This window comes from Homo sapiens, chromosome 2 (genome assembly GCF_000001405.40).
Source record: "Homo sapiens chromosome 2, GRCh38.p14 Primary Assembly".
Taxonomy (NCBI): Eukaryota; Metazoa; Chordata; class Mammalia; order Primates; family Hominidae; genus Homo; species Homo sapiens.
In genome coordinates, this window is record NC_000002.12 from 34,710,461 (window position 1) to 34,730,674 (window position 20,214).

At 37.4% G+C, this 20,214-nt stretch overlaps 2 long non-coding RNA genes across 4 annotated transcripts in view; one reads left to right on the plus strand and one right to left on the minus strand.

The window, feature by feature from the left end:
* The window catches only part of LINC01320 (long intergenic non-protein coding RNA 1320), a 45,007-nt gene extending 32,904 nt beyond the window's left edge, over positions 1-12,103 (plus strand). Inside the window, exons 2-3 of the long non-coding RNA NR_126404.1 lie at positions 3,119-3,313; positions 11,539-12,103. This is a non-coding gene — a long non-coding RNA (long intergenic non-protein coding RNA 1320). The remainder of the gene's footprint in view (positions 1-3,118; positions 3,314-11,538) is intronic.
* LOC105374458 (uncharacterized) overlaps positions 1-20,214 on the minus strand; it is a 33,938-nt gene that overhangs the window by 6,931 nt on the left and 6,793 nt on the right. For 2 of the 3 annotated variants that reach the window (XR_007086277.1, XR_002959378.2), the window contains exon 3: positions 18,701-18,787. This is a non-coding gene — a long non-coding RNA (uncharacterized LOC105374458). Of the gene's footprint in view, positions 1-18,288; positions 18,379-18,700; positions 18,788-20,214 lie in introns of those variants that run through there. The other variant, XR_007086278.1, reaches the window with a different exon arrangement.

Here is a 20,214-nt window from a genome sequence, read left to right on the forward strand (position 1 = left end):
TGCAGCCCGTGAAAAAGAGGGTTTTCGGAAGCTTGACATTTATGAGGGTGAGGGTGAGTACACTTCTGGCTATGTCCTTTCAGAGTCTAGCCAAAGAGCTGTAACTGAATTTTGGCTGGTCATTTTGAAAGTGGTTTCAAACAATCTAGCATATATTATCTGCTCAATATGGAGGTCTGAGCTGATTCAAAAGCCACTCCTAACATATAGACATGGGAAAGAAATCAGGGAAAGAATGAGGGAAAGAAACCACCCCAATGGAAAGTCAGTACATGAAACACATGAGAATATTTGAAGACTTGTCCTTGAGACAATAGAATGATCTGAATTACAAGTGAAATGGCTAACTGATTATAAGGGTGAATAGACTCTAAAAGACAGAAACAGCATATTATGGATTAAAAAATAGGAATAATTTTGAAAACAAATAAATATTCTACAAATAAGACAATAAATAATATATAGGGGAATCATTCAATAGAGACCTTAAAAAAGAGACTAATAAACCATAAAAAAGAATAATTGTGCCTGAAGATAGATCTAAACTTTTCTATAGTATAAACATAATTAAAGAGAAGGAAAGAGTGAAAAATGAGGATTAAAGTAAATGACGATATAATGCTAAGTGGCAGCCTATGTGTAGTAGGAGTTTCAGAAGAGATGAATAAATATTGGAAAAGCAAAATTTGAAGGCACAAGAACAGCAATAACAGCAGATATATTTCCTCTATTCCTGTTATTGATGGAAAATCTTCGAAATACTCACCATTAAGTATGTTGTCTGCTGTAGGATTTTGGCAAATAACTTTAAGAATTTTTTTCTATTACTAATTTCCAAAGTTTCCTTTTTTTATTTTTAATGATTGTGAGCAGAATCTATTTGAAGATTTTTCTGTCTCTTTAAAGATGATCATATGTATTTTTCACTCTTAATGAATAATGTAGATAACTTTTTCATTCCTAATACATAAATTATTATACAATGTTGAAGTCAATTTACAAATACAATTTAATCTATCTAAGGATTTGGTACTATGTTTATTAAGTGAAATAATCTATTTGTTTTGAACTGTCCTTGGCTAGTCTGTCATTTTAATTATATAAATCTAAAACAAGTGGGATAACTTCCGCTCCGTTTCTATTCTCTGGAAAAATTTGTGAAAGTCAAAGGTAAACTAGGGAAGTTTGCTAAAACTTGCTTGTAGTAGTATCTGTACATGGTGTCATTGAAGACTAGGAAAAAGGAAAAACTTGTACTACCTATTTAGTTTAATGCCTATTAATCAATTCAGGGTTTCTATTTTTTTCTTGAGATAATTTGATCATATACTTATTTTTAGAAAATTTTAATCACATACACATTTTATATTTTATTGACATTAAAGAGGTCTCATATTTGGTTAAAACTTCAAAATTAGTCACTACTTTCTTTATATTTTGTATCTTTAATGTCTACTATTATATATATGTATGTGTGTATACATATGTGTGTGTGCATATATAGAGAGACAGAGAGAGAAAGAGGGAGATCTGTCTTTGAGCAGTGTTGCTTGAATTTTATCGATTTCATTCATTTCTGAATATAATGAATATTTCATTTTTCCACAATATTTGACTTCAAATAGAAGGATATTATGACCTCAAAATTAGTTTTCAACTTGTTCTAGAAAATCATCATCTGGGTCCTTTATTCGCATAACGCAGTTGGAAATATACTTGCACGATAATATCACTTGTGAATCTCTATTTACTTCTTTTCCCAAGCCCCCCATGATGTTTGCACTCACTCCTCTGGGAAGCCCTCCCTGATAGCCCCTCAGCAAGATCCAGAAGTTCCATCCACTATGCCGTGCCTGTTCTTATTCCATTACAATAGAAGACATGTTCAATTGTTTTGCTTTACTGAATGCAGGTCTCTTTTCTATATTGTAAGTTTCCTGGGAATAAATGCAGTAACTTTTGTTTATGACTTAGAAATCCAAACAATTATCTAGTATTGTGTAGGCACTCAGTAAATCAGTTTGGATTTTTAACATTAATTAACTTTGTTAATTATTCTTGTGCTTCTTGTTAAGAAAATTAGTAGTTAGAATATATTTTGACAGATTAGAAAAGGTTGACTCAGGCCAGGTGCGTTGGCTCACGCCTGTAATCCCAGCACTTTGGAAGGCCGAGGCTGGTGGATCATGAGGTCAGGAGATCCAGACCATCCTGGCTAACATGGTGAAACCCCGTCTCTACTAAAAATACAAAAAATTAACCGGGCATGGTGGTGGGCGCCTGTAGTCCCAGCTACTCGGGAGGCTGAGGCAAGAGAATGGCGTGAACCCGGGAGGCGGAGCTTGCAGTGAGCCGAGACAGTGCCACTGCACTCCAGCCTGGGCCACAGGGCGAGACTCCATCTCAAAAAAAAAACAAAAACAAAAACCAAAAAGAAAGAAAAGGTTGACTCATTCTTCTAAGAAGATAGCACACTTACTTATTTGATAAGTTGGGCCTAATCATTGATTTATAGTTTATCTTGTTCTAGAAATAATTTCAGTGGCTATGTCACACCTGTGTGTGTCTATCTACTTCCACAGCCTTTAGAAGAGACTCCTCAAATACTATTATAGATTTTCTTCTAGGGTGGTGATAGTGTTCCCGCTTTTACCTGTGAATTCATAAATCATACTATATTCTCCAAAGTCTAAAACCGAGCTTCATTGTTTATTGTTTAGACCTGTCATCTCTAAGAATCCATCAAAATAAGTCTCTTGCTCACTGTCTTTCATTGTGTTCTCCTGCTTATACAGTTTGTATAACTTTGATTCATCTCCACTATATTAGTACAATTTCCCCCCTGGTAAGTTTTGATTTAACTAACAAAAAGATCTACAATTGGAAAAGTCTTGCCTTTTAGGCATTTGTTCAAAACCATGGGAATTTGCAATTCCCCCTATGGTCTTGCCACAGATTAAAGTAACAAGACTAATTTCAGTCATTTCTTTAAGATGTTTAATTTAAATCACTTGTTTCAATGAGAATACATTTTATGATTCTGAAAAAAAATTGATTTCATCATGTGATGGCCTAAGGAGAATTTCAGTCCATATTCCTCTTGTTGATTTTGCTGCAGAATTGACAAGCCGACATCAGTCTCCAGAGTGAATCCAAGGAGTGGACCCAAGACATTTGTGTTCTGTGATGTGGTGGCATGTTACCTGTCATCTCCGATGCATAACTCCTAAAGTGCGTCTGGGGCAGTTGTACAGATTGCAGAGGATAATACTCAAGATGTTCTCCAAGGCCAACTAGTCATCAGTTTATTCATGCAAGTATTAATAATACAATTGCTTCTCCAGGTTCTAGCAATTAAAGAAGAAGAAAAAACAAGTGGCCTGAATTTGAACAAAGCAAATATGAGATTTGTGGCTATTGCTTGTAAAAGGGTTGCCTTCACAAATAGCCTTAGAGCAGAGGATTAAGAATCACAGAAAATGTACTTGATTGTGTATACTTTTGCTGTGTGACCTCATCAGTTTGTATATAGACAACCAGAGCTGAGTCCCTTTTCATATGCTGCTCTCTCCATTCAGTACAGTAGATGTTAAACATTGTGTGTAGGTATGCACATGTGTAGGCCGCCATATGTGAGCATGTGTGCAGTTTCATGTATTCAGTGTCTGCTGAAGCAGACTTCGCTAATTACTGTATTACCCTTCTCCTTTTGTTCAAGCCAGGAAACCAGTTTCAGGAACCAGTAAGAAAGACACAAGAAGATATGCCCTTCAGGTCCCTCCATATCTGTAATGCTTGGTTCCTTCATGCCTCTAGAAAATATTTCATGAAAACTGCTGAAAAAAACTTCTTTTCTATGACCAAACTTGAGACAAGCTCCTCTGAGATCCCTTTTTGAGGAGGGCCTGCTTCGAGCTCTGTCCTTGGCCTGTTTAGTCCAGTTTTAGCAAGACTCTTGCTGGATCACTTTAGTGTAAATCCCCTAGCCTCGCTATCTAATAAAATTCCTCATTCCCCACCTTCAATATCTCTTAACATTGGCCTTGCTTCAGCAAGATTCATTTTGAGTAGGTCTAGCAAGTATTCCCCTAGCTTTGATGTTTCCTGCTAGTAATTTTCCATCTACTGACCCTCACCCTCTCCAACATTTCTCCTTGGCTATACACTTCTACTTTTCCTCTTTATATGCAAAGTTAAGCCCAATCTCTCCTCACAGCTAAAAAACTCCACTGTAGTAGCCCCCCATTGAATAGTCTTCCTTACCATTTTTAATGAATGTCACAAATATATGTGTGTGTGTATATATATGTTTTTTTTTATTTTTCCATAAGTTATTGGGGTACAGGCAGTACTTGGTTACATGAGTAAGTTCTTCAGTGGTGATTTGTGAGATTTTGGTGCACCCATCACCCGAGCAGTATACACTGCACCATATTTGTAGTCTTCTATCCTTTGCCTTCCTTCCATTCTTCCCCCCAAGTCCCCAAAGTCCATTGCATCATTCTTATGCCTTTGCATCCTCATAGCTTAGCTCCCACATATCAATGAGAACATACGATATTTGGTTTTCCATTCCTGAGTTACTTCACTTAGAATAATAGTCTCCAATCTCATCCAGGTCATTGCAAATGCTGTTAATTCATTCCTTTTTATGGCTGCATAGTATTCCATCATATATATGCCACAGTTTATCCACTCATTGATTGATGGGCATTTGGGTTGGATCCATGATTTTGCAATTGTGGATTGTGCTACTATAAACATGTGTGTGTAAATATCTTTTTTGAATAATGACATTTTTTCCTTTGGTTTAGATACCCAGTAGTGGGATTGCTGGATCAAATTGTAGTTATACTTTTAGTTCTTTTAGAAATCCACACTGTTTTCCATAGCGGCTGTACTAGTTTACATTCCCACCAGCAGTGTAGTAGTGTTCCCTGTTCACCACATCCATGCCAACATCTACTGTTTTATTGATTTTTTGATTATGGCCATTCTTGCAGGAGTGAAGTGGTATTGCACTGTGGTTTTGATTTGCATTTGCCTGATCATTAGTGATGTTGAGCATTTTTTCATATGTTTGTTGGCCATTTGTATATTTTCACAATATTGATTCTACCCATCCATGAGCATGAGATGTGTTTCTGTTTGTTCATGTCATCTACGATTTCTTTCAGCAGTGTTGTATAGTTTTCCTTACAGAGGTCTTTCAACTCATTGGTTAGGTATATTCCTAAATTTTTTAATTTTTTAATTTTATTTTTTTGCAGCTATTGTAAAAGTGGTGGAGTTCTTGATTCTCTGCTTGGTCGCTGTTGGTGTACAGAAAAGCTACTGATTTGTGTACATTAATCTTGTATATGGGAACTCTGCTGAATTCTTTTATCAGTTCTAGGAGCTTTCTGGAGGAGTCCTTAGGGTTTTCAAGGTAAAAAATCATATCATCAAATAGTGACAGTTTGACTTCGTCTTTACCAATTTGGATGCCCTTGATTTCTTTCTCTTGTCTGATTGCTCTGGTTAGGACTTCCAGTTCTATGTTGAAGAGGAGTGGTGAAAGTAGGCATCCTTGTCTTGTCCCAGTTCCCAAAGGGGATGCTTTCAACTTTTCCCCATTCAGTATTATGTTGGCTGTGGGTATGTCATAGGTGCCTTTTAATTACATTAACGTACGTCCCTTGTATTTTGATTTTGCTGAGAGTTTTAATCATAAAGAGATGCTGGAATTTGTTGAATGCTTTTTCTGCATCTACTAAAATGATCATGTGATTTTTGTTTTTAGTTTTCTTTATGTAGTATATCACATTTATTGACTTGCATATGTTAAACCATCCATGCATCCCTGGTATGAAACCCACTTGATCATGGTGGATTATCTTTTTGGTATGTTGTTGGATTCTGTTAGCTAGTATTTTGTTAAGGATTTTAGCATCTATGTTCATCAAAGATATCGGTCTGTAGTTTTCTTTTTTGATTATGTCCATTCCTGCTTTTGGTATTAGGGTGATGCTGGCCTCATAGAGTTAATTCCTTTTTTCCCTATCTTGTGGAATAGTGTCAAAAGGATTGGTAGCAGTTTTTCTTTGAATGTATGGTAGAATTGTGCTGTGATTCAGTCTAGTCCTGGCCTTTTTTGTTGGTAATTTTTTAATTACTGTTTCAATCTTGCTGCTTGTTAATGGTCTGTTCAGGTTATCTAGTTCTTCCTGATATAAGCTAGGTTGGTTGTATTTTTCCAATAATTTATCCATCTCTTCTAGGTTTTCCATTTTATGTGTGTAAAGGTGTTCATATTAGCCTTGAATGATCTTTTGTATTTCAGTTGTTTCAGTGGTAATATCTCCTGTTTTGTTTCTTAGTGAGGTTATTTGGATTTTCTCTCTTCTTTTCTTGGTTAATCTTGCCAATGGTCTATCAATTTTATTTATCGTTTCAAAGAACCAGCATTTTGTTTCATTTATCTTTTGCATTTGTTTTCGTTTCAATTTCATTTAGTTTTCCTCTGATCTTGGTTACTTCCTTTCTTCTGCTAGGTTTGGATTGGTTTGTTTTTGTTTCTCTAGTTCCTTGAGGTGTGACCTCAGAATGTCCGTTTGTGCTCTTACAGTCTTTTTGATGTAGGCATTTAGGGCCATGAACTTTCCTGTTAGCACCGCCTTTGCTGCATCCCAGAGGTTTTGATAGGTTGTGTCATTATTGTCATTCAGCTGGAAGAATGTTTTAATTTTCATCTTGATTTTATTTTTGACCCAATGTTCATTTAGGAGCAGGTTGTTTAATTTCCATATTTTGCATGGTTTTGAAATTTCCTTTTGCAGTTGCTTTCCAGTTTTATTCCACTGCGGTCTGAGAGAGTGCTTGATATAATTTCAATTATCTTAAATTTATTGAGCCTCGTTGTATGGCCTGTTATATGATCTATCTTGGAGAAAGTTTCATATGCTGTTGAATAGATTGTGTATTCTGCAGTTGTTGGATAAAATGTTCTATATTTATCTGTTAAGTCCATTCATTCCAAGGTATAGTTTAAATCCATTGTTTCTTTGTTGACTTTCTGTCTTGATGACCTGTCTAGGGCTGTGAGTGCAGTATTGAAGTCCCCCACTATTATTGTGTTGCTATGTCATTTCTTAGGTCTATTAGTAATTGTTTTATAAATTTGGGACCTCCAGTGTTAGGTGAATATATGTTTAGGATTGTGATATTTTCCTCTTGGAAAAGGTCTTTTACCATTATATAATGTCCCTCTTTGTCTCTTTTAAATTCTGTTGCTTTAAAGCTTGTTTTGACTGATATAAGAATAGCTACCTCTGCCCCCATTTGGTGTCCATTTGCATGAAATGCCTCTTTCCACCTCTTTAAGTTTATGTGAGTCCTGATGTGCTACATGGGTCTCCTGCAGGCAGCAGATATTTGGTTGGTGAGTTCTTACCCATTCTGCTGTTCTGTATCTTTTAAGTAGACCACTTAGGCCATTTACATTCAACGTTATATTGAAGTATGAGGTACCTTTGAAATCATTGTGCTCTTTGCTGCCTGTGTACTTTGGTTTTTTTGTTTTTTGTTTTTGCTTTTTAACTTGTATTTTTGTCTTACAGATCCTGTGTAATTTATGCTTTAAAGAGGTTCTATTTTGATGTGTTTCCAGGATTTGTTTCAAGATTTAGAGCTCCTTTTAGCAGTTCTCATAGTGGTGGCTTGGTAATGGCAAATTTTGTTAGCATTTGTTTGTTTGAAAAAGACTGTATCTTTCCTTCATATATGATGCTTAGGTTCACTAGATACAAAATTCTTGGCTGATAATTGTTTTGTTTGAGGAGGCTGAAGCTAGGGCCCCATTCCCTTACAGCTTGTAGGGTTTCTGCTGAGAAATCTACTGTTAATCTGAAAGGTTTTCCTTTATAGGTTACCTGCTGCTTCTGTCTCACAGCTCTTAAGATTCTTTCCTGATGATAATGTCCCTATTGTCCCTAACCTGATAACAATGTCCCAATTCATCTTTTTGTGATGAATTTCCAAGGTGTTCTTTGTGCTTCTTGTATTTGGATGTCTAGGTCTCTAGCAAGGCTGGGGAAGTTTTCCTTGATTGTTCCCCCAAATATGTTTTCCAAGCTTTTAGAAGTCTCTTCTTCCTCAGGAACACTGATTATTCTTTGTTTTGGTTGTTTAACATAATCCCAGACTTCTTGGAGGCTTTGTTCATACTTTCTTGTTCTTTTTTTCTTTGTCTTAGTTGGATTGGGTTAATTCAAAGACCTTGTCTTCGAACCCTGAAATTCTTTCTTCAGTTCTATTGCTGAGACTTTCCAGAGCATTTTGCATTTGTAAAAGTGTGTGTGAAGTTTCCTGAATTTTTTATTTGTTTTTAAGCCATCTAGTTTCTTATTTCCCCCTTCAGTTCTTGTAACATATTTTGCATTTCCATGCATTGGGTTTTGCCTTTCTCTGCTCCCTCCCTGATTAGTTTAATAACTAAACTCCTGAATTCTTTTTTGGGTAAATCAGGGATTTCTTCTTGGTTTGGATCCATTGCTGGTGAACTAGTGTGATGTTTTGGGGTGTTGAAGAGCCTCATTTTGTTATATTACCAGGGTTGGTTTTATGGTTCCTTCTCATTTGGGCAGGCTCTGTCACAGGGAAGGTCTAGGGCTGAAGGCTGTTGTTCAGATTCTTTTGTCCCACAGGTGTTCCCTTGATGTAGTATTCTCCCCCTTTTCCTATGGATGTGGCTTCCTGTGAGCCAAACTGCAGTGATTATTGTCTCTCTTCCAGATCTACCCACTCAGTGAGTCTACCTGGCTTCAGTCTGGTACTGGGGGTTGTCTGCACAGAGTCCTGTGATTTGAACAGTCTATGGGTCTCTTAGCCGTTGATACTAGCTATCTGTTTTGGTGGAGGTGGTGCGGCCGGCAGGGGGCGGGGTGTGTGCAATGGACTCCGTGGGGGTTCATAGCTTTGGTGGTTTAATGCTCTATTTTTGTGCTGGTTGGCCTCGTGCCAGGAGGTGGTGCTTTCCAGAGAGCATCAGCCATGGTAGTATGGGGAGGAACCGGTGGTGGGTGGGGCCCTAAAACTCCCAAGATTATATGCATTTTGTCTTCTGCTACCAGGGTGAGTAGGGAAGGTCCATCAGGTGGGGGTGGGTCTAGGCATGTCTGAGCTCAGACTCTCCTTGGGCAGGTCTTGATGCAGCTGCTGTCGGGGGTGGGGGTAAGATTCCCAGATCACTAGAGTTTGTACCTAGGATTATGGCTGCCTCTGCTGAGTCATGCAGGTTGTCAGGGAAGTAGGGGAAAGCTGGCAGTCACAGGCCTCACCCAGCTCCCACGCAAACTGAAGGACCGGTCTCACTTCCACCATGCCCCCCACCCTTAATGGCCCCCAGACTGTTTCCAGGTAGAGAGCGATATGGACTTGAAACCCTGTCCCAGGCTCTCCACCTCCCAGCTGCGAAAGAAAAGGGCTTGGTTCTTCTCTCATCTGTGGAGTCTGCACACTGGATTTGTGCCCTCCCGCAAGTTCTGTCCAGTAGGCTTCTAACAGCATTCAAATTGTTACAAAGTTCTGCTACAGATTTCTTTCTCCCTTGTAGTTTTACCCCCTGCTCCTCTCCCATTGGATCCCTGTGGTGCTAGGCAGGAATGTCCTGCGAGGGGACCCAGCGAGCTCCCAGGGCCTTTCTGCTGCTTCCTGTATCCCTGTGTTTCGCTGGGCTCTCCAAATTGATTCAGCTCCAGGTAAAGTCAGAAACTTTGCCTGCAAACAGACTTTCAGCTTCTCCAGTGGGTGTGTGTGTTTGGGAGAGGAGGGTCTCCTTTCCCACTTCTGCAGTTGGGGCACTCGCATCTTTTGGGGGGTCTCCAGGGTCGTGCAGGAGCAATCCGCTTCCTTCAGAGGGTCTGTGGCTCCTCTTGGGGTTGCTGGTTTGTTCTTGCAGTCGATCTGGAGCTAAAATTTGCAATGTGAGCCCCCATTCAGTGCTCTGTCAGGAGATGCAATCTAGTCCTGCCTCCTGTCCGCCATGATCTCTTATATATATATATATATATATATATATATATATATATATATATTTTAACACTGCCATACAACACTATTTTTTCCACACAGTTGCCAGTGGGTCTCAGGAGCCCCTGGAAGGCATGCATTTGGAATTTCCTAGTGCTGCCTTTTATGTACCTAGAGCATTCCATAGTCTAGGGCTGACCACTTTCTCTTAGAACTTGTAAGAGAAGCCAACAGAATTCAGCAGTCCTTTCTCAACTGTACAGCAAGATAAAAAATAGATATCATCTTTTCACATATTTCTATGGTAACTCCTAGAATACAGAGTGTTACTTGGGAAAATGGGGACAAAGAGGAAAAGGAGGACAAAGGAAATAATGAAAGGAATTATGCAGGATAGTTGAATAAAATCAGATGACATTGTAACCAAACTAAACTGGGTCCATTTGCCCAAACAACAGAAAGACAAAGACTGGAATTTTGCAGTGAGGAAGGTTTATTGTGAGGCAGCTGAAAAGAAGACTAGGGAATGCTCAAATCCATCTACCCAAGCTGGGGGATGTGTTGGGTTTATGAGGATAGTGTAATGAAGTATGATCTGACTGGATCTTGCAATGAGGTGATGCCAGAATGCATGATCTGACTGGATCCTGACCTTCTTGCCTTGTACTTTTTCTTAATTCAGTCCCTGCTTCTCAGTCCTAGCACTTAGGTTCTGCACATGGTTCATCTGGGCATGCTTAGCTCATGTCATCTTCAACTTGGAGGTCCCTGGCGACCAAAAAAACAACTTTCAACTTTGCTACATGACAGTTAAACCAGATTGGTATGATGCAGTTATAACATAGACAAGTTCTTTCAAAGTAGCTGTAATTAAAGTCCAAAATTGTGAGAATTCAATATGAAAATAAAATGTATCTGAATTAGGATATTTCTGTATTTTTAAATTAAATTTGTTTTTTTAAAGAGATTGATACAATTATATATATTTGTCATATAAAACATGACATTCTGAAACACATATACCTTGCAGAATGGCCAAACAAAGCCAATACATCACAGTTGTCATTTTTGTGGTGAGAACACTTACTAATATCTTAGCATTTTTCAGGAATATAATATATTGTTATTAACTGTAGTCACTCTGTTGTAGAATAGATCTTTTGAATTTATTCCTTTTGGCTAACAAAAATGTTGTGTCTTTGGACCAACATCTTTCTTACCCCCTCCATCACCACTGCCCCAGACCCTGTTAACCAACATTCTACTCTCTACCTCCATGAGATCAACTTTTCTAGATTCCACATGCAAGTGAAATTATGTGGTACTTGTCTTTCTGTACCTGTTTTATTTCACTTAACATTATCTTTTAAACAAATGTGAAGAGAGAATTATACCTGAAGAAGGCAATCACTTTTGGAAGCTCTCTTTCCAAGTACAGCAAATAAGCTTGCCTAACCTGACAGTTCAGATAAGATTAAAGACATGTTGCTTGAATTACTACTACAGTTCTTATTCCTTTGTTCCTCACAGGTTTCTGGGATTGGATTCATGAACTCATCCTTTGAACTATTTCAACAAGCTTTTTCATGTAACTAATCTGCGGAAGGTAGAAAGGGGAAAACTGTTGGGTGCTAAAATGACAACTGGTTCAAGGTACAATGGCGAATATTTTTATTTCTGCAACTTTTCTTAGAGGTTGGAAACTGGACTGGGCAGGAAGATTCCTTTTTGTAAGATTAGTCTCCAGTTTTCATCAAGCAGTTTAGTGGGGTATTTTAGGCCCAGTTCCCTCTCCACAGTCCCCAAAGGTCTTCTGTTAACTTTAAATCCGCAAAGAGAGAGATCTCTGCCAAGCAGCAACTGCAAGAGCATGTGGGTCAATGTTACCAGCAGACACTCAAAGCCCATTCCCTTTACTTCAACACCGCTTTATAAATTATCTTAGAGACGTTGTCAGGTTGGTATTAGAGGTGAGTGGTCATGACTTCACGATTTCTCATCTTTCTGAATGCATAGTGGCTGGGAGTGGTGGCTCATGCCTGTAATCCCAGCAGTTTGGGAGGCCGAGGTGGGCAGATTGTTTGACCACAGGAGTTCGAGACCAGCCGGGGTAACATGGCAAGACCCCAATCTCTACCAAAAAAAAAAAAAAAAAATACAAAAATTGTCTGGGTGTGGTGTGCATGCCTGTAGTCCCAAGTCCCAGCTACTCTACTTGGGAGGCTGAGGCAGAAGGATCACCTGAGCCCAGGAAGGCCAAGGCTGCAGTGAGCCCTGATGGTGCCACTGCACTTGACCTTGGGCAACAGAATGAGAATGAGACCCTGTCAAAAAAAAAAAAAAAAAAAAAAAGAAAAAAAAAAAGAAAGAAAAAGAGAGAAAGAGAGAGAAAGAAAGAAAGAAAAGAATGCATAGTGAGATTTTACAGTAAAACTCTTTCTTAGAGGCTAAAAACTCTGGGGATCTCACGATGTGGGTACATTTCTAGAGATAATATTTTAGATCTCTATAGATATTATTTTAATACATCTTTTTCTTTTTGGTTTGACTGTGTATCATATGGCTTTTCTTCTTGGAAGTTATCAAACTTCTCCCTAACTAAGGTCCTTGCATATGCTGACCTGTTTGACATACTCCCACTCTGGTCTACTCATTCTTCAGGTATCATTTTCATTCCTGTCACTACCCCTTAACCCAACCCAGACAAGGTTATTGTGCACTGAATCATTTCAAAATGCCACTTTAAAAATGAGTAAATATTTATGTAATTATGTGTTGAATATACCTCCTCTTTACAAGCATATAAGTCTATGATACAAGTCTATGCTTGTCTCTTCTAATTCTGGTACATCATGTGATATGAGAACCATGGTAGGCAATCAATAATGCAGAGACGAAATGTTTTTATCTTAGAGAGACTCTCACAGAAGTTTCTAGTTTAGAGATGCTTCACTGAAGTTTATGGCCTCAACTTCCTTGGGTCTTGATTACTATCAGTGGATGCAGTGATGGAGGGTAGGTAAAATCCAATGTTATCTACAAGTTCTAGACTACAGCCAACAAACTTTTTCCAAAATAGGCCAGATAATAAATATATTAGGTTTTTTGGGCCATGAAGTCTCTGCTGCAACTACTCAGCTCCACATTTGTAGTGGAAAAGCAGTTATAGATGAAACATAAAATGAATTAGTGTGGCTGTGTTCAAAAAAAGCTATTTTCAAAAACAGCCAGTGGGAAAGCTTTGGTCCTTGAGCCATAGTTTGCAAAATTTTGTTCTAAACAGTAATTCCTTCACTGGAGATTTTAAAAACAGAAAGAGAATACAGACAGCTATACATGTTCTGGTCTATTCCTGTTCTCTAGTATAGCAGCACCTTAAAATTGTATTACTAACAGAGTACAGGAGATTGTATGGAAGGCCTATAGTGATGACTCTTTCATCAGCTTTGTTCGTAATAAATTAACTGTATGTGTTTCAGAGAGTCATATGACTCCAAAATGATTTAACACATGCTGCTACAAGCCAGCCTTCTTAAGTTTTTATTAAATCTTGATTGTTTTGGTCACATAATTTTTATATTAAATCCTGTGATACTCATTGTTTTTCTATAAAAATCATCACATTTCAAGTGTTAGGTAGTGTGTATAGAACTGACAGGTAATAATTTTGACAGGTATGGGATTAAATAGAATCCATCCAAAACCATTTACTTTCCTTATACATTATAGCAGAAGTGGCTAAATTAGAGGGTTGTTCCTGTCTCCATCATGCACTTCTGTCTTCTACTCCATCCCTTGTATATATTGGGGATATTTTGAGCCAAGTGCTAACGTTACTTACACAGCTGATATTTCAGATTAATATGAATGCTGACCGTTTGCCCTCACAACATGCCCACAACACATGGATTATACAGGGGAATTAATCGTTAGCAATGAATTCAACATTTAGCTTTTAACATTTTTATTCTGCCAGTAAGGCCAGAGAATAAATCTATTCTTTCTAGCAGGCAATTATTAATCTCTGGCTTTCACAAACAGCAAACGGCCACTGAATCCAGCTGACAGCATATATTTATTTAAAGATTAATAAGGAGAATTATTTATATTAGTTAAAACGTATTCTTCATTATGTTTAAATCTTTCCAGAGCTATGGCAGGAGTTGGATTGGAGTATACAGAATGGATTAACTTATTCTAATTGTTATCTAAAGTAGAGGCATTGAGCACTGATATGGTTTGGCTGTGTCCTCAACCAAATCTCATCTTGAATCAGTTCCCATAATCCCCACGTGTCAAGGGCGGGACCAGGTGGAGGTAACTGAATCATGGGAACGGTTTCCCTCATGCTGTTCTCATGATAGTGAGTGAGTTCTCACAACATATGATGGTTTTATAAGCGTCTGTCATTTCCGCTGCTGTTACTCATTGTCTCTCCTGATGGCCTCTGGAGAGATGCCTTTGCCATGATTGTGAGTTTCCTGAGGCTTCCTAGCCATGTGGAACTGTGAGTCAATTAAACGTCTTTTCTGTATAAATTACCCAGTCTTGGATATTTCTTCATAGCAGTGTGAGAACGGACTAGCACAAGCATATTTCCAAAATACATTCTGACAGTCATTTAAGATTCATTTCAGAAAGACTATAATCTTGCAATAGACATTACCTAACTTTTTGCTAAGAAAATACATTTTCAAACTCTTCATCCTTTGGTGTGACCAGGTTCAGAGATGTCCCTTCATGTATCTTGTGTTTATATTGCAATTTTGAGTATAATGGGATCAACTACATGAATTAAAGACAGAAATAGGAAGCAGGTTTCAAAAAACATAATTTAAGAACATATAATGGAGGAATAATTGTAGGAGCTTATTCTTTATATTCCAGTTTTATTAGCCAAGTAAAACGATTTCCTTACTCTGTCACTTTTTAGTCATACCAAGAATGTTGTCAGTATTTCTCAAATTATTGTGCAGATTTAGAAGAATCCACGTTATAGTGCAATTTTGAGTCTCTTAAAAGAAAAACAAGGATCTTAAACCAAAGGCACTCTATCCCAAATTTTGTAAGTAACTACTGAATATCTCCAAAGTCTTCTTAGGAATCCTAACAATTTTCATGCTTTTTTTTTGAGATGGAGTCTTGCTCTGTCGCCCAGGCTGGAGTGCAGTGGCACGATCTCGGCTCACTACAAGCTCCACCTCCCAGGTTCACGCCATTCTCCTGCCTCAGCCTCCCAAGTAACTGGGACTACAGGTGCATACCATGCCCGGCATATTTTTTTTTTTTTTTTTTTTTAGTAGAGACGGGGTTTCACCGTGTTAGCCAGGATGGTCTCGATCTCCTGACCTCGTAATCTGCCCGCCTCAGCCTCCCAAAGTGCTGGGATTACAGGCGTGAGCCACTGCGCCTGGCCAATTTTCAGGCTTTTTATTGGTAGATACTTTATAATGTTTCTTTAGTTGGTTTGCAAAAATGGTCATAGCTTCATGGTTGTGGCGTCTGATTTTCCTCATGTCAAGTGTAGCATCTTCCTTGAGTTCTAACCTTCTGTTCACATTATTATGGGAAAGTTATTGAAGAGTTGATGCTTCAGGGACAATTTTGACATTGGCTTTACCCTTGTCATGTCTGTAAAGTGCAAGCTACAATTGAAATGCACCTGCAGTTTGCCACCAGGAGGCATATTTGTCCATTTCTAAAATGGAAATAGTTAAAAATGCATTCACAAGTAGTAATATTTGAGTGGACTTCAATTATTTATGAAATTCTGTACCTATCAGATACAGAAACTGCAAAATGCTACAAAAAATTCATCTAATGTATAATATGGAGTGTAACATTGGAAGAGCAGAGGGGCTGTGAAGTGAGAGTCTCTGTTGACTTTGTCTTTCACAGACTCAAACAAAATACCTTCGATGTGACTTTACTGGCCCCTATTTTAGTCCCCTGAGCCTCAACTTTCTGTATTTCATTGGGCTTTGATCACTAATTTACGTAAATTTCACTAATACTTACTGGAGTTTTCTTACATTTGTTTGCTTAAATGTCAGCAAAAGGAAAATGCAATACTCCAGAATAAAATCATGAACTAAATTAAGAAACAAAGTAAAAAGACTGTGCTTTAAAATATTCTATTATTATTCAGTTTCAACCTTGTTTTTATTGTTTGTATTTCCACTTGTGGATTGTGAGAGAAAAACACAGTTAAAAAGTTGAGTATGTCAGACAGTGGATTGTCCTTGGATAGTGTGTGGTTTGGACTCTTCCACACATTTCCAGTGTTATCGCTCTTTAAGAAGTCCCAATTCTCCTCTGTTCATTCAAACTAAGCTTCTCAAAGTTTCCCCCAGGCACTTCATTTTATCTCATGACTCCTTGAATGTAGGACTGCTTTTTGACAATAATGCATTTTTCTGCTTTTTTCCTTTTCTTGTTTATCCTTAAAGATTTGGCTTCTGTGTTACTTCTTATTAGCAGTGATCCCTGCCTGCCCTCACCGAGCTCAGGGAGTTAGGGGACTATTCTTTGTACACATTGTGTCCTGTGCTATCCTTTTCACATCACCTACATTTGTTATACTTAAGAACTTGATTTTTTTTTTTCTCAACATTTTCTACACTTGCTTGCGACTTCTTTGAGAAGAGAAACTGCATTCTTACTTCCCAGTAGCCAATAAGTAGACACATAGTAAACATTTATTGTATGGATGGCTTATGGGGTTTACTACAAGTCTGTTTTGTTTCAGAGAAAGAATTGCCCACTTGTGAGTGGGTCAAACGGTGGAAATTTTCTTGCATGGTTTCAATTTAACATTCCCTTTTCCTAACGTCCAGTGGAATTTTCTGGACCTTGATGATAACTTTTAGGTTATGTGGTGATTTTTAATGTACTTTGAGTCAAACTAAAAATCCGTTGTCGTCTTTGGGACATACTAGACCAAATTAGTTTCGGAGAGTTCATTACATTCCCCATGGCTTCGGAGGTCAAAACCTCTCCTGAAGTTCACTTTACTATAAATAAGTACTTATTTAGATTTTATTTAGGGATGGGTTTATAATGTATACAGATATAATTTGTATTGTAATAATAACACATGGAAGGAAGAAAGTTATAGAGTTAATGAGGAAAAAATTGTATACTGTTGAAACTAAGTTGATGTTATATGAAGTAGATTGTTTTAAGTTAAGTTGCAAATGTAATTCCCAGGGCAATCACTATGAAATAATCCAAAAATAGGAAGTAAAGAAAACAACATGGAAATAAAAATGATATACTAGAATATGTCTATTTAAAACAAAAGAAAGAAGTAATGGAAGAAAACAGAAAAAAAGAAATAAAATATACACGTACCAATTTGGCATAAATAAATCCTACCTAACCAGTAATGAGACTTAAAATGAATGAACTAAACATTTCAATCAAAAGGCAGAGATTGGAAGATTAGTTTAAAAAACATATGATCCAACTAGATGTTGGATAAATGAAACAAAATTTACTTTCAAAGACACAAATAAGTAAGGATTAAAAAAGATGTACCATTCATAAAATGCCCAAAAGAGAGTTGGAATGGTTATACTATATGATGTGTTTTGTTTTTGTTTTCAATGAAATTATAAATGAAAATGAAAACAAATTATACAAAAATTTATAGAATGCAGCTGAAGCAGTGCTCAGAAGGAGATTTTACAGGCCTATTTTTAAAAAGAAGAAAGATGGCAAATCAATAATGCAGCCTTCAATCTTATGAATTTTTTTAAATAAAAAAACATACTAAACCTGGAGCATGTATGAGTAATAATACATACTAATACATATTAATACACAAGGAACAAGCATTAGGGTTCTTCAGAAAGATAGAAACAGTAGGATATATACAGAGAGATGGATAGATATTTGAGAGAAGATGAATTAGGGAAACTGGCTTATACCAGTTCTGGAGGCTAAGAAGTCCCACAGTGGTCTGCCTGCAAGCTGGAGACCCTGGGCGATCTACTACACCCAATAGAGTACTAAGAATGGTGTTTGGAGAATGAGTATGCCAACAAATGTTGTTACAATTTAACCTACAAAAACTGGAGCCTGAATATAGACAGAAGTATTGTCAAATGGATTTTTGAGCAGACAAAGAATGAATTCCTTCCATTAACATTGTATCATTTGACTCCTGGAAAATTTTTTAAAACATATTTATGAATATTTCTTAAATACTGGCCTTAGAACATGATTGAGGGTCTTTCTTCCCTCCAGTTCCCACACAGAGTCCTTTGCTTATCACTGACTAGCAGACTCTTCATTTATAAATTGTTGACAATCTACTTTCTAGAAGATAAACTGATCATTTGTTGTTGTCAAACGATAAGCCTCAAACTATAAGAAAGAAAAAGGAAAAGGAGAAAAAGACAAAAAGAACGTAATATTTTTCCAATTGTTCATATAAAACCTTGGAGTCATCATTGACCCCTTTCTGCCTCTCACACTCCCAGTCCAATCACTCAGATCATCTTGCCCACTTTGTCTTCAAGTTATATACAAAATTTAACCACTTCTTCTCATCTGTACTGCCACCACTGCAGATCAAGCTACCTTCATCTCTTACCTGGATTAGTAAAAAGCTTATAAGTTGATATATCAGCTTCACTACTTATCTCCGCTCCAAGTATTCTCAAAACAACAGCCAGAGTAATCTTACCAGGTTAGTCAGATCTTGTCACTCTTCTGCTCAATACACTTCAGGCATGTCTTCTCCATCAGAATAAAAATCACCATTGAGGAAGACCTACAGGGTCATATATGATATTTCTGACATTCATTTTACACTAATTTTACCTTCCCTCACTGTGCATGAGCTAGTGCTTCCTCATTGTTCCAGGGATGAGCCATTTGCGTCTGCCTTAGTTTTTATGCATTTGCTTTTTCTTATCTTTAGAATGCTTGTCCTCAAGAGTCTACCTGGCTCACTCATTCACTTTACTGGAATGTCACCTTTTCATGAAATTGTGCTGATTCTTCGAGCCATCCTATCTATTATTCTACATATGATCCTTCCTGTCCCTCTTCCTTGCATTTTTTATCCCCTTCCCACTCTCATCATCTAATATACTATACATTTTAATTGTCTTTTGAATTGATCTCAATTTCTCCCACTAGAATGAATGTCCTATAGGGCAGGGATTTTTGCCTGTGTCTAGAGCAGTGCTTGGCACATAAGAAGTTTCTATAAATGTTAGTCCTTCTGGGAGACAGATGCAGAATTGAACTGTTTACACATATTTTTTCACTTTATCTTCCTAATAGCTCTATTATGCTGATATTTGTATCCCCCCCCTTTTTAAGGTGAAGATACTGAAACTGACAGAGGGTAAAATATGTGAATCTAGGTCTTTCTGACTTCAAAGCTATTATTCTTTATTATATCTTAGTTACTTTTACTCAGAAAATAAGTGTTATGTGACAGGTCCTTAGGTCTTTATTTTCCTTTTATCTGGGACTCTATTCAATCTTCCTTTCACTCTCTGACTTTTCATGTTAACACTGCAAAGACGACCCATTGTGAAGCCTGGCTTAGCCACGCTGTCACAAGCTCCTTTAAAATCTCACTAGTTGGAGTGGAGCTGTCAGCCTTTTGTGAACAAGGCAAGCTTCTCACTGAAAGAAAAGGCCAATGACATGGTGTACCTTGTAAAAGCTATCATAGTGGAAAAGAACATGCAGCAATGTTCACATCATGAAGAGAAATGTCACCAGATGCATATAATTTTTAAATTCTTACCTATATTTTTATACACACTACTTGGGTTAACAGTTCTGAGACAATAAAAGAAAGACACAATCACTGTGTTCAGTTCAGTTGCTTCAAATGTAAAAAAAAAAAGGCTGTATAAAAGTGAATATCAGGTTAGTAGTCTGAAATATTGCCTATTGATCTAATCAAAAGAGAACATTCAAAATGAATGTAGTCCAGGTTTATGTAATATTTAGAACAAGTCAAATGCTTAGTACTTTTGTGGTAAAAGTTTTATGATTCTTGAATACTAATGGCAGAAAAGTCAAGGACTGCAATGATAAAGTCGAAATAAAACGTGAAACCAAGTGGAATTGCTAGAATTTGAGTCATTAGGAATGAAGGAAAATCAGAGCAGAAAGAACAGTGTAATGATTTAATAGGAATCTTTGCTTCCTATGTCAGTCCAAGATTTATGTGAA